We start from the raw sequence: 13,857 nt of genomic DNA, 5'->3' as shown, positions 1-13,857 counted from the left end.
AACAGCCATTACTCCTAACATACCACAACCAAGAGAAAAGGCAACCCTCAAAACACCACACACACACACACACACACACACGCACACACACACACACCCCTCCTTAAGCTTTCAGTAGTGTGGCCTTTTGGCCCTCTATCACATGTTAGACAAGACCCACCTGCAGAATTATAAAAACTTTAAATGATTTCATAAGATCTGCTAACAGCATGGAAGCTGACTACGGAGTTCTCAAACTTAGCCTAAAGAGTTCTTTGACCAAGGTTTTTAAAAATTGAAGACAAAGAACGGGGGAGAAAAAAACCAGGGGGAGGGCAAGATGGCTGACTAGACACAGCCAGGAGGAAAAGCTGCCAATGAGGGACTGAGACAACTGGTGTGCTCCTAACAGATCTTCAGAGGGGGTCACTGAAGAGTGGATGGAGGGAAGACACAGAAGCTGGGCTGAAGGGGGAGGAAGCTGGGAACCATACATGAGGCGACTACGCACCTGGACTCATTCCTGGCCCAAACAGCTCTGGAAAAACAAGTGAGCTGAACTAGCAAGGAGCAACCCACTCTTGCCACGGGCCTCTGGAACCTCTCGCCCACCATGAACACTCAAGTTGACAGGGTGAGCCACTTAGAGAAGTGATAGGGGCAGCAAGCCAGCTGATATGGAGCCCAGAGGGTTTGGTGTGAGAGAATCTGTGGTGGGGCATGGCCAGGGATAGCCATCCCCTTAGGCTTAACTGGCACCCATAGGAGACTTTAGCTCTAAGGCAACTGTTGGACCCGAACTCTGCAGGGTAGTCTTGTCCATCATATGGGGCCGGTCTCATCTGACCACCCCTTGGCCTGCTGGCCTCTCCCAGGGCCCCAGCCTGGCCACACATGCTTACAGGGCAGCCTTGGGTGGCCTGGGGGACTGCATCATAGCTTCTGTGCTGGCAGACTATGCCTGACCAGCAGAGAGCTCCAGCAGAGTGGCCCCCATGGCTATGCACCAGCCTGTACATTCAGTCCCCATACTGCAGCTTCCCTAGGCCCATAGCAACTCCCCACATGGCTTTGCTGGCATGTGCCTATGCCGGCAGGTTTTGCTTTTCTTGCCCCACCAGCAGGCAAGTGTACATGTATCCACCTTGACACTGCTGTGGCGGGAGTGCAGTTCATTTCCCATGTCCCCACTGACCACCACTGCAGACAGAACCTTGGTGGGCACCAAACCAGCCAGCCCTGCCTCCACCAGTGCCCCTTCCTTGCACCAACACTGCCGCAGGAGTGAAACTAGGCACAGAGAATAACAGATCCTCCCCTGCATGGAGCAACCACTCCTGTTTGCAGTACACAGAGAAGGCACACAGACCTGCAACTGCCAGCGCCCTGCCCCCAAGCCAACACCACCACCAGTGCCACTGTGCACAGTCGCCAGCAGGGGTCCCCGCTCACCTCCCAGCTGTGTTGCCTCCTCCACTGTGGTGAATGCTCTCAGGGAGGCAGGCACCCTGGCACCCACCAGCACCCTGGCATAGCTGACAAGTGTGTCCCCCACTGCACTGCTGCTACCACTGCTGCTGGCACATGTAAACAAGGATGAATCCCACTGTCACCACACTATGAAATGCTTTGGCTGCCACCACCCATTGTGGTGTAGTGACTAGTGGTCTGGGAGCACTCTGACCCCCCAATGCAGTGGATTCCTAACTTCAAGGAGCCAGAGAAAAAAGTTGGGGCCCAATACGAGCCCCCCCAGAGTTAGAGCACACAGTCTAGGAGTTGGGGGCTGAGCAATGGCCACCGAAAATCTTCCAGAAACAAAGCCAGTTGGCTGAATCCACCTTATACTACAATAAAACTCTCAAGGTCATCAAATATGGTAAAAGGAAAAAAAAAAACCTCATCCAAGGGTCAGCAACTTCAAAGATTGAAGGAATGTAAGCCCACAAAGATGAGAAAGAAATAGTGCAAGAACTCCAAGAACTCAAAAAGCCAGAGTATCTTCCTTCCTCCAAACAACCATATCACTTCTCCAGTAAGGGTTCAGAACTGGGCTAAGATGGCTGAAATGACAGAAATATAATTCAGAGCATGGATAGGAACAAAGAACACTGAGCTACAGGAGTATACTGAAACCCAGTCCAAGGAAGCTAAGAATCATGATAAAACAATGCAGGAACTGACAGACAAAATCGGCAGTATAGAGAAGAATGTAAGCAACCTGATAGAGCTGAAAAGCACACTACAAGAATTTCATAATGAAATCACAAGTAATAATAGCAAAACAGACCAAGCAGGGGAAAGAAATCTCAGAGCCTGAAGACTGGCTTTCTGAAATAAGACAGTCACTGACAGACAAAATAGACAGTATAGAAAGGAATATGACCAACCTGATAGAGCTGAAAAACATGCCACAAGAATTTTATAATGCAATCACAAGTATTAATAGCAAAATAGACCAAGCAGAGGAAAGAATCTCAGAGCTTGAAGACTGGCTCTCTGAAATAAGACAGGCAAGAATAGAGAAAAAAAGAATGAAAAGGAATGAATAAAACCCCCAAGATATATGGGATTATGTAAAGATGCCACATCTACAACTCATTGGTGTCCCTGAAAGAGATGGGGAGAATGGAACCAATCTGGAAAACATATTTCAGGATATCATCCATAAGAACTTTCCCAACCTAGCTAGAGAGGCCAAAATTCAAATTCAGGAAATGCAGAGAACCCCAGTAAGATACTTCACAAGATCATTCCCAGGACACATAATCATCAAATTCTCCAAGGTTGAAACTAAGGAAAAAAATGTTAACGGCAGCCAGAGAGAAAGATCAGGTCACCTATAAAGGGAATATCAGACTAATGGTAGACCTCTTGGCAGAAACCCTACAAGCCAGAACAGATTGAAGGCATATTCAACATTCTTAAAGAAAAGAAATTTCAACCCAGAATTTCATTATCTGGCCAAACTAAGCTCTGAAGGAAGCACCACATATGGAAAGCAAAGAGCATTAACAGCCACTACAAAAACAGACTAAAGTACACAGACCAGTGATACTATAAAGCAACCACACAAAAAACTGCAAAATAACCAGCTAACATCATCATGAGAGAATCAAATCCATACATATCAATACTAACCTTGAATGCAAATGAGCTAAATGCCCCAATTAAAAGGCACAGAATGGCAAGCTGGATAAAGAATCAAGACCCATTGGTATGCTGTCTTCAAGAGACCCATCTCACATGCAGTGACATACATAGCAGAAGATGAGAAATAACCAAAATCAGAGCTAAGTTGAAGGAGACTGAGACATGAAAAAACATTAAAAAGATCAACAAATCTAGAAGCTGATTTCTTGAAAAAATTAAAACAGACCACCAGCTAGACTAATAAAGAAGAGAGGAGACTCAAATAGACACAATCAGAAATGATAAGGAAGATATCACCCCTAACCCCACAGAAATACAAACAAACGTCAGAGAATACTATAAACACCTCTATGTACATAAACTAGAAAATCTAGAAGAAATGGATAAATTCGTGGACACATACACCATCCGAAGACTGAACCAGGAAGAAACTGAACCCCTGAACAGACCAATAACAAGTTCTGAAATTGAATCAGTAATAAATAGCTTACCAACCAAAAAAAGCCCAGGGTCAGATGGATTCACAGCTGAATTCTACCAGATGTAGAAAGAAGAGCTGGTACCATTCCTGCTAAAACTATTCCAAAAAATTGAGGAAGAGGGACTCCTCTCTAACCCATTCTATGGGTTGTGCATCAACCTGATACCAAAACCTGGCAGAGACACAACAAAAAAAGAGAACTTCAGGCCAATATCATTGATGAACATTGATGCAGAAATCCTCAACAAAATAATGGCAAATCAAATCCAGCAGCACATCAAAAAGCTTATCCACCACAGTCAAGTAGGCTTCATCCCTAGGATGCAAGGTTGGCTCGACAGACACAAATCAATAAATGTGATTCATCACATAAACAGAACTAAAGCCAAAAACCACATGATTATCTCAATAGATGCAGAAAAGGCTTTTGATAAAATTCAACACCCTTCCATGTTAAAAACTCTCAATAAACTAGGTACTGAAGAAACGCACCTCAAAATAGTAAGAGCCATCTATGACAAACCCAAAGCCAATATCATACTGAATGGGCAAAAGCTGGAAACCCTTGAAAACCAGCAGAAGAGAAGGATGCCCTCTCTCACCACTCCTATTCAACATAGTTTTAGAAGTCCTGGCCAGAGCAATCAGGCAAAATAAAGAAATAAAGGGCATCCAAATAGGAAGAGAGGAAGTCAAACTATTCCTGTTTGTAGACGACATGATCCTCTATCTAGAAAACCCCATAGTTTCAGCCCAAAAGCTCCTTAAGCTGATAAACAACTTCAGCAAAGTCTCAGGATATAAAATCAATGTACAAAAGTCACAGCACTGCTATACACCATGAACAGTCAAGCTGAGAGCCAAATCAGGAATGCAATCCCATTCACAAATGTCACAAAAAGAATAAAATACCCAGGAATATAGCTAACCAGGGAGGTGAAAAATCTATAGAAAAAATATACAACACTGCTCAAAGAAATTAGAGATGACACAAACAAATGGAAAAACATTCCATGCTCATGGAAGGAAGAATCAGTATCATTAAAATGGCTATACTGCCCAAAGCAATTTATAGATTCAACACTATTCCTATTAAACTACCAAATGACATTCTTCACAGAACTAGGAAAAACTATTTTAAAATTCATATGGAACCAAAAAAGAGCCTGAATAGCTAAGGCAATCCCAAGGAAAAAGAACACACCTAGAAGCATCACACTACCCAACTTCAAACTATACTACAGGGCTACAGTAACCAAAACAGTATGGCACTGGTACAAAAACAGATACATAGACCAATGGAAGAGAATAGAGAACCCAGAAATAAGGCTGCACACCTGTAACTATCTGATCTTCAACAAAACTGACAAAAACAAGCAATAAGGAAAGGACTCCCTATTCAATAAACGGTGCTGGGATAACTGGCTAGCCACATGCAGAAGATTGCAACTGGACCCCTTCCTTGTATTATATACAGAATTAACTCAAGATGGATTAAAGACTTAAGTGTAAAGCCCAAAACTATAAAAAACTCTGGAAGACAACCCCAGCAATGCCATTCTGGACATGGAAACAGACAAAGATTTCACGACAAAGACACCAAAAGCAACTGCAACAAAAGCAAGTCAACAAATGGGATCTAATTAAAGAGTTTCTTTACAGCAAATGAAACTATCAACAGAGTGAACAACATATAGAATGGAAGAAAACTTTTGCAAACTATGCATCTGACAAAAGACTAGTATCCAGCATCTATAAAGAACTTAAAAGTTACAAGAAAAAAACAAACCACCCCACTAAAAACTGGGCAAAAGATATGAACAGACACATTTCAAAAGAAGGCATACAGGCAGCCAACAATCATATAAAAAAATGCTCAACATCATTGATCTTAAGAGAAACACAAATCAAAACCACAATGAAATACCATCTCACATTGGTCAGAATGGCTATTATTTAAAAGTCAAAATATAACAGATGCTGGCAAGGTTGCAGAGAAAAGAGAACGCTTATACACTGTTGGTGGAAGTGTAAATTAGTTTAACCACTATGGAAGATGATGGTGATCCCTTAAAGATATAAAAACAGAAATATCATTCAACCCAGCAATCCCATTACTAGGTATATACCCAAAAAAATGTAAATCGTTCCATCAGAAAGACACATACACACGTAAGTTCACCGCAGCACTATTCACAAGAGCAAAAACACAGTATCAACCTAAATGTCCATCAATGGTAGACTAAAGAAAATGAGGTACATTGGAATACTATGCAGCCATAAAAAAGAATGAGATCACGTCTTTTGCAGGAACAGAAAACCAAATACCGCATATTCTCACTTATAAATGGGAGCTAAGTGATGAGAACGCATGGGACACATAGAGGGGAACAACATACTGAGGCTTACTGGAGGGTAAAGGGAGAGAATCAGGAAAGAAATAACTAAGGGGTACTAGGCTTAATACCTGGGTGATGAAATAATCTGTACAATAAACCCCCACGACACAAGTTTACCTATATAACAAACCTACACATGTACCCCTGAATTTAAAATAAAATTTAAATTTTAAAAAAAGAAAAACAATCACATTTCTGACTACAACGCTTCACAATCACTCTCATTTGGCTCTCTTCTTTCACTAGAATCACCTATATCCCTTGTGAACCCACATCCAGAAGAAAACGCTTTGCCAGTCTGACCCTGTGACCCACTTGAAGATCCCTGTCCTTCTGAGAGTCACACCTAATGATTCCTCCTGCCTGGATTGATCTGAATTTTCCTGATCTCTTGGCACTTTGAGTCTTTTCATCCATCACTAACAGATTAGATAAATCCCAAATTACATATATCCTGTTTATTGACAAGGAGAAAGGTAGGAAGTAAAATGTTTTTAAGACAAGGAGCAGTAAAAATTATCTCCAGGCAAATTTGTTAATTAATGAAGAAATGCAGATGACAGTACCAGATCCAAAAGAAACAATGAGAAGAAATACAAAGAAAAGAGACTAAAAGAGAGTGCATGTTTGATTTGCAAACCAAAATGCCAGAACAGCTCCCCCAAGTCCAGCTGAAATGTCATTTGCACACTCTATACAGTTAAAGTGCACTGCAAAAAGTCCATCCTCAAAAAGGTAAAAAGTATTCTGGAAAAATGATTCTGAAAAAACACTAAAAACAATAATGTGGAATTCAACATCCCCCTCCCAGAAAATAAAACTTCAGTAACACTGAAAGGGAGAAATTAGCGCTTCAATTTAGTTAATTGGACTATTGATTCTTATGCAATACTAAGTCACTGATCATTAAACAGAAGTGAGAATATTAGCTGTTAATGAAGGTAACAAGACTAAGATATTCACAGATCTTCTAGTACTTCCTACTACAAGAGTTCTAGAATAAAACAAAGTGGGAAAAATTATGCATGTAAACAGAATATATTAATATAAAAGAAATAAGCAAGGAGAAAAATACAAATGTACTTTGCATAAATGTAAAATGTGAAAAGACAAGGACTTTTAGTGTTTAAAGCAGAAAGCAAACATGCTAAGTCATGTTCAACCATTTCCAAACTTCCAGGCCCAACGGGGGAACAATCCAGAATACCCATGGGAAAAAATACACAAAATGTGTATCTTCTACTACTGAAAATGGGAATTGACTGTTGCTTTTTAAAACAAAATTAAATTGAAAGTAAATATTTGCACAGAAAAGTACAGCACTCTTTTTGATAAAATACTGAGCTGTTTCATACCCCTATAGTAACTTAGTATTATTAGTCTTTTAACTTTTAGCCTTTCTGGTGTATGTTTAGGGTTATCTTGTGATTGTAATTTGCATTTTCCTAGTAACCTGTGAAACCAAGCACCTTTTCACATGCTCGCTGGTCATTTTGATATCTTCCTTTGTGAAATGACTATTTGTCTTTTGCCCATTTTTCTACTCAGTTAACTTATTAATTTATAGATGTTCTTTATCTTTTGTTGGTTGTATGTTGTAAATATATGAAATGTTCATTATTTTAATATAGTCTAAATTAGTAACCTTTTATCACTATTTTTTAAGAAATCTTTCCCTACTCCAAGGCACTAAGATTTTCTCTTATGTCATCTTCTAGAAAATCTTCAGCATTTCACATTTAAATTCGTAATCCATCTAGAATTGAATTTGGTATATGGTATAAAACTAGAAGTCAAAATCTTTCTTTTTCCCCCATATTGTTACTCAGTTGATCCAGTGACATGTATTGAAAAGACTCCCCACCATCTTGCAGTGTCATCTTGTCATGAATCAAATGTTCACATATGTGGGATCTCTGTTACGGGACTCTTTATTCTGTTCCATTGGTCTGTTTTTCTATCCTTGCAATACCACACTGTCTTAATATAGTTTTTAATAAATCTTGTTTTCTAGTACCCTAAGTGCTCCACCTTAATTTCTCTTCATCAAGATTGTTTTGGCTACTGCCATATAAATTTGAGAATCAACCTTGTTGATTTTCACTTTAAAATATACTGGAGTTTTAATTAGAATAATACTGAATAGATCAAAATTGGAGAAACCAATACCTTTAAAATATTGAGTCTTTCTATCCATGAACATCTATTCTTCCATTTATATCAGTTTTAATTTCTCTCCATAATTTAGAGCTTTCTGTGCAGAGGTCTTATACCTCTTTCATTGGATTTACTCTATTTGGTGCTTTTTTGATACTCTTGTCAAGGGTATCTTTTTTAACTTCATTTTTAATTGCTTTTTGCTGGTACAAAGAATCAATAAATTTTTGTAAATTAACCTTTAACTCAGCAAATCTACTATTTCATTTGTTAATTCTGTCTACATAGATTTTTTGGGTTTTCTGTGTACACCAACAAAGCATGTGCTAATTACTGCAGTGGTATTTCTTCCTCTCTAATCCTTATGTCTTTTATTTATTTTTCTTGCTTTATTGCACTAGCTACACCTCCACTACAATAACAACAACAAAAAAAGTGGTGATACTGGGCATCCTTGTCTCATTCACAATCTCTGAAGGAAAGCTTCTAACAATGGGTTACATTAATTGCTACTTGCTATGTTTCTTATATACCATTTTACTAGATTAAGGAAATTCCCTTAACATTTCTAATTTTCTAAGGGATTTTAATATTTTTATCACAAATGGATAACTGAATTTCATTAAATTCTTTTCCTGGATTGAGATAACTATGGTGTTTTTTCCTCTGATAATATGATGAATTATGTTGATTTATGAATGTTGAAACAACCCAGAATGACTAGAATAAACCTAAGTTAGTATGTAATTTCTAAATATTGCTGGATTTAGTTTGTTAATATTTTGACTAACAGTTTTATATTAACATTCACATAAGACTGGCCTGTAATTTTCCTTAACTGCTACATCCTTGTTAAGTTTTGAAATAAAGATTATGATGCTTCATAAAAGGAGTTAGGAAAATCTTATCTTTTCTTCTGTTCTCTGGAATATTTTATATAAAATTCATGTTACTTATTTCTTAAAATGTCTGGTAGAATTCACCAATGAAGTCTACTGGGCCCAAGAGATTTATCTATGAGCAGGTTTTTCAATAACAAATTCAATTCAGCCGGGCGTGGTGGCTCACGCCTGTAATCCCAGCACTTTGGGTGGCTGAGGCGGGCAGATCACCTGAGGTCAGAAGTTTGAGACCAGCCTGACCAACATGGTGAAACCCCATTTCTACTTAAGAAAAAAAAAAAAGCAAAAATTAGCCGGGCATGGTGGTGCGCACCTGCAGACCCAGCTACTCGAGAGGCTGAGGCAGGAGAATCGCTTGAACCCAGGAGGCAGAGGTTGCAGTGAGCTGAGATCACGCAACTGCACTCCTGCCTGGGCGACAGAGTGAGACTCCATCTCAAAACAAAAAAAAAATCAATTTAATAGGATACTATTCACATGTCTCAACCTTTCTTGTATGCTGTGCTTTCCTAGGGATTTTTTATTATATCTAAATGTTTTACTGTGGTGGGGGGGTGGGTACATGGTCATTCATAGTATCTTTTTATAACCCCTTTACTATTCAGAGGCTCTATTATGGTTTCTCTTTTTAATTGCTAACATTAGTTATTTTCCCCCCTTTTTTCTTAATTAGTCTTGCCAAGGTTATCAATTTAATTAATTTTTTTCGAAGAGAATAGCTTTGTTCATCCTCTTATACATTTGTTTCCTATTTTATTAGTTTCTGTTCTTATCTTTATTACATCTTTTCTTTCTCATTTCTTTGGTTTTAATTTGCTGGGGTTTTTTTGTTTTTCTTGAAATGGCTACTTAGATCACTTTCAGCCTTTCTAATATATATAATTTTAGCTGTATATAAAATGTAGCTATATGTATACACACATAGCTAACATTCTAGGCACCACATTAGCTGCATTCCACAAGTTTTGATACGTACCATATTCATTATTATTCAGTCCAAAATATTTTCTAATTTTCATTTTGATTTCTTTTGATTCATGGGTTATTTAGAAGTGTATTGCTTAATTTCCAAGCTTTTGAGGATTTTTTCTGGATGTCTTTCATTGTTCTGAGTTCTAGATTAAATCCACCTTGGTCAAAAAACATGATTCTAATCCTCTGAAATATGTTGAGACATGCTTTACGGCAGTAGTGGTAAATGGTCCATATTCACTTGGATGTGTATTCAGCAGTTACTAGGTACAATGTTCTATTTAGATTAATTAGGTCAAGTTTATTAACTAGGTTAAGTTTGTTAATCTTGATCAAATCTTCACCTGAACTGAGGTTTTCTCTGCTTGTTGTATTAATTGAGAGCTACTTGTTAAGTCTTCCATGATTACCATGTACTTAATTTTTCCCTTGATTCTGCCCATTTTTCTTTGTATATTTTAAGGCTACATTATTAAGTATTTATAGAATTGAATTATTAAAGCAACCTGGTTAACTGACCCATTCATAATTTTTAAGTGTCCCTAGATCTTTAGTATTGCTTCTGGCTTTGATGTTTACTTTGTCTCATGCCAATACAGTTACATCAGTTTTCTTTTGGAAGTTTTCTCATGTCATATCACTTCCAGGCTTTTACTTTCATTTTTAAAAAATGTCCTTCTTTTTACATTCTTCAAATTTAGCAAGTTCTTTTCCCAACCTCTTGAGATGAATCAATACCTCAATGATTTTCAGCCCTTCCTCTTTTCTAATATATGCTCTTATGGCTATAAATGTCCCTCTGAGATATTTTATCTGCATTCTGTATGTCTGATGTTGTATTTTCATTTTGAATTCAAAGTATTTTCTAATTTCCATTGTGATTTCCTCACTGATCCATGAATTATTCAGAACTTCATGTCCTAATTTCCAAATGTATGCAGATTTTCAAGTTATCTTTTTCTAACTTATTTCCACTATGTTCAGAGACCACACCTGTGACGTCAAGCTTTTGAACTGTATCAAGATTTACTTTATGGCCCAGCATATGGTCAATTTTGGTAAGGGTATTTTTTGTGCTAATAAGAATGTGTACTCTGAAATTCTGTTGTATAATATTCTATATATAAAAATTAAGTCAAGTTCGCTGATCATGCTGTTAAAATCTATATTCTTATGTTTGTCTCTTATTCCATCAGTTACTAAGAAAAATGTGTTAAAATTCTCCCCTATGATTGTGGCTTCATCTGTTTTTTCCTAGTTCTGTCACTTTTCACATACAGATAAGACAGAAAGAGGATTTTCTTTTAAAACTATTTAACTAGACACATTAGATACGCAGACATTTTCATCTTGGTTTGAGTCCCCCAGCAAAGTGTGGGCTGAGACATGGACTTCAGGGCAACTGGAGGTGACCCCAGAAAGCACAGTGAGGACACAGAGAGCAAGGCAGAGAAGGAAGGAAAGCTAATAAAGGACGTGCTATTGAGCATATTAAGCATATTACTGAAGTAAGCAGCTGGTGATGAATTCCACTGGGAATCCACTAAGGAACCAGATGGAATCTTTCAGAATCGTCTCTCTGAGGAATGGGAAGTTGGAGAATTCACCTAGTCCCTCCACTACTTGAACCTTGACCTAAGATCTAAGAGTATTAACTCCTCAACACTTCCAGATTTCATCTAAGCAGCTTTCCAAGGCCCCAGAGAGAGAAACAAAGTATGGGGAAAGGAAAGAGAGATCAGATTGTTACTGTGTCTGTGCAGAAAGAAGTAGAAATAAGAGACTCCATTTTGTTCTGTACTAAGAAAAATTCTTCTGCCTTGAGATGCTGTTAATCTGTAACCTTACCCCCAACCCTGTGCTCCCTGAAACATGTGCTGTGTCAACTCAGGGTTAAATGGATTAAGGGCTGTGCAAGATGTGTTTTGTTAAACAAATGCTTGAAGGTAGCATGCTCCTTAAGAGTCATCACCACTCCCTAATCTCAAGTACCCAGGGACACAAATGCCGCAGGGACCTCTGCCTAGGAAAGCCAGGTATTGTCCAAGGTTTCTCCCCATGTGATAGTCTGAAATTCGGCCTCATGGGAAGGGTAAGACCTGACCGTCCCCCAGCCCGACACCCGTAAAGGGTCTGTGCTGAGGAGGATTAGTAAAAGAGGAAGGAACACCTCTTTGCAGTTGAGACAAGAGGAAGGCATCTGTCTCCTGCCCATCCCTGGACAATGGAATGTCTCGGTATAAAACCCGATTGTATGTTCCATCAACTGAGATAGGGGAAAACCACCTCAGGGCTGGAGGTGGGACATGCAGGCAGCAACACTGCTCTTTAAGGCACTGAGATGTTTATGTGTATGCATATCTAAAGCACAGCACTTAATTATTTACCTTGTTCATGATGCAGAGACCTTTGTTCACATGTTTGTCTGCTGACCTTCTCTCCACTATTATCCTATGACCCTGCCACATCCCCCTCTCCGAGAAACACCCAAGAATGATCAATAAATACTAAGGGAACTCAGAGGCCAGCGGGATCCTCCATATGCTGAACGCCGGTCCCCTGGGCCCCCTTTTTTCTTTCTCTACACTTTGTGTCTCTTTCTTTTCCAAGTCTCTCATTCCACCTAACGAGAAACACCCACAGGTGTGGAGGGGCAACCCACCCCTTCAAACAAAGTATACTACAAGCTTGTCCAACCTGTAAGCCACAGGCCATATGTGGCCCAATACAGCTTTGAAGGTAGCCCTACACAAATGTGTGAACTTCCTTAAAACATTACAAGATTTTTTTTTTAAGCTTATCAGCCAGCATTAGTGTTAGTGTATTTTATGTGTGGCCCAAAACAATTCTTCTTCCAATCTGGCCCAGGGAAGCCAAAAGATTGGAAACTCCTGTTATAGTAGATGTTGGCAGCGCATAAGGACCTATATTTAATAGCTAAAAGGAAATCAGGAGGCAAAGAGGACATACTACAGGGCACAAAGAATGTCTACTAAAGTTACATATCCTGAAATTTCACATTTTCTCATTATGAAGTGTTTTTCTTCACCTTGAGTAATGCTTTCGGCTTCTGCTCCAATCATACTTTTTCTGGTAAGAATATAGTTATACCATCTTTCTAGTCAAACTGTTTGCATGTTATATATTTTACCTTTTAATTTCAATGTTTTTATATTTCTATAAACATTAAATAATAATTGCATTTGTTTATCTGATCCAGTTGGACAGTTTTTCTTTTAATTAAGCCAGTTACTGCATTTACATTTAACAAACCTATTTTGATTTAAAGCTTTCATCTTGTTACATAATATTTGTACTTAATAAGCTCTGTTCCTTTTTCTCTTCTTTTTTGCCTTCTTTGGGACTGATTACTTTTTTTATCATTCCATTTTTCTCTATTAGCATGGAAGATATTCTCTACTAATATATACTTTTAATGGTTCCCTCAAGATAAAAACATGGATTTGTGACTTAACAAGGTCTAATGTTAGCTATAAATACTTCAATTCCATTTATCCCAACCTGACTTAAATATAACACCATTGCCACCATAATTTTACATATACGTTAAACTCAAAAGGCAATTACCGTTAGCTGGGCACAGTGACATGCACCTGTAGTCCCAGGTACTTGGGAGGCTGAGGTAGGATTGCTTAAGCCCAGGAGTTCGAGTCCAGCCTGGGCAACATAGCAAAACTCCATCTATTATTGTTGTTTTATACAATCAATATTCATTTAGATTTACCCATACATTTACTACTGCTTTTCATTTCTTCCTGCAGCTCTGAGGGTCAATCTGGGATCACTGTCTTTC

General features: G+C 38.6%; 1 protein-coding gene across 61 annotated transcripts in view, besides 2 other annotated features; it reads right to left on the bottom strand.

Moving 5' to 3' along the window:
• CEP63 (centrosomal protein 63) overlaps nucleotides 1–13,857 on the bottom strand; it is a 296,836-nt gene that overhangs the window by 253,909 nt on the left and 29,070 nt on the right.
• Nucleotides 1,177–1,677: an enhancer, noted in NCBI's record as "H3K4me1 hESC enhancer chr3:134245816-134246316 (GRCh37/hg19 assembly coordinates)". NCBI's record gives its function as "activates a minimal SCP1, AML or CMV promoter by ChIP-STARR-seq in primed H9 embryonic stem cells {active_cell/tissue: H9 hESC(primed)}" and the evidence as "EXISTENCE:reporter gene assay evidence [ECO:0000049][PMID:30033119]".
• Nucleotides 1,437–1,496: a silencer, noted in NCBI's record as "silent region_14753". NCBI's record gives its function as "represses an Ori minimal core promoter by ATAC-STARR-seq in GM12878 lymphoblastoid cells {active_cell/tissue: GM12878}" and the evidence as "EXISTENCE:reporter gene assay evidence [ECO:0000049][PMID:35858748]".

Source organism: Homo sapiens, chromosome 3 (assembly GCF_000001405.40).
Source record: "Homo sapiens chromosome 3, GRCh38.p14 Primary Assembly".
NCBI classification, from domain to species: domain Eukaryota; kingdom Metazoa; phylum Chordata; class Mammalia; order Primates; family Hominidae; genus Homo; species Homo sapiens.
This window is presented reverse-complemented; position numbering and strand designations above follow the sequence as displayed.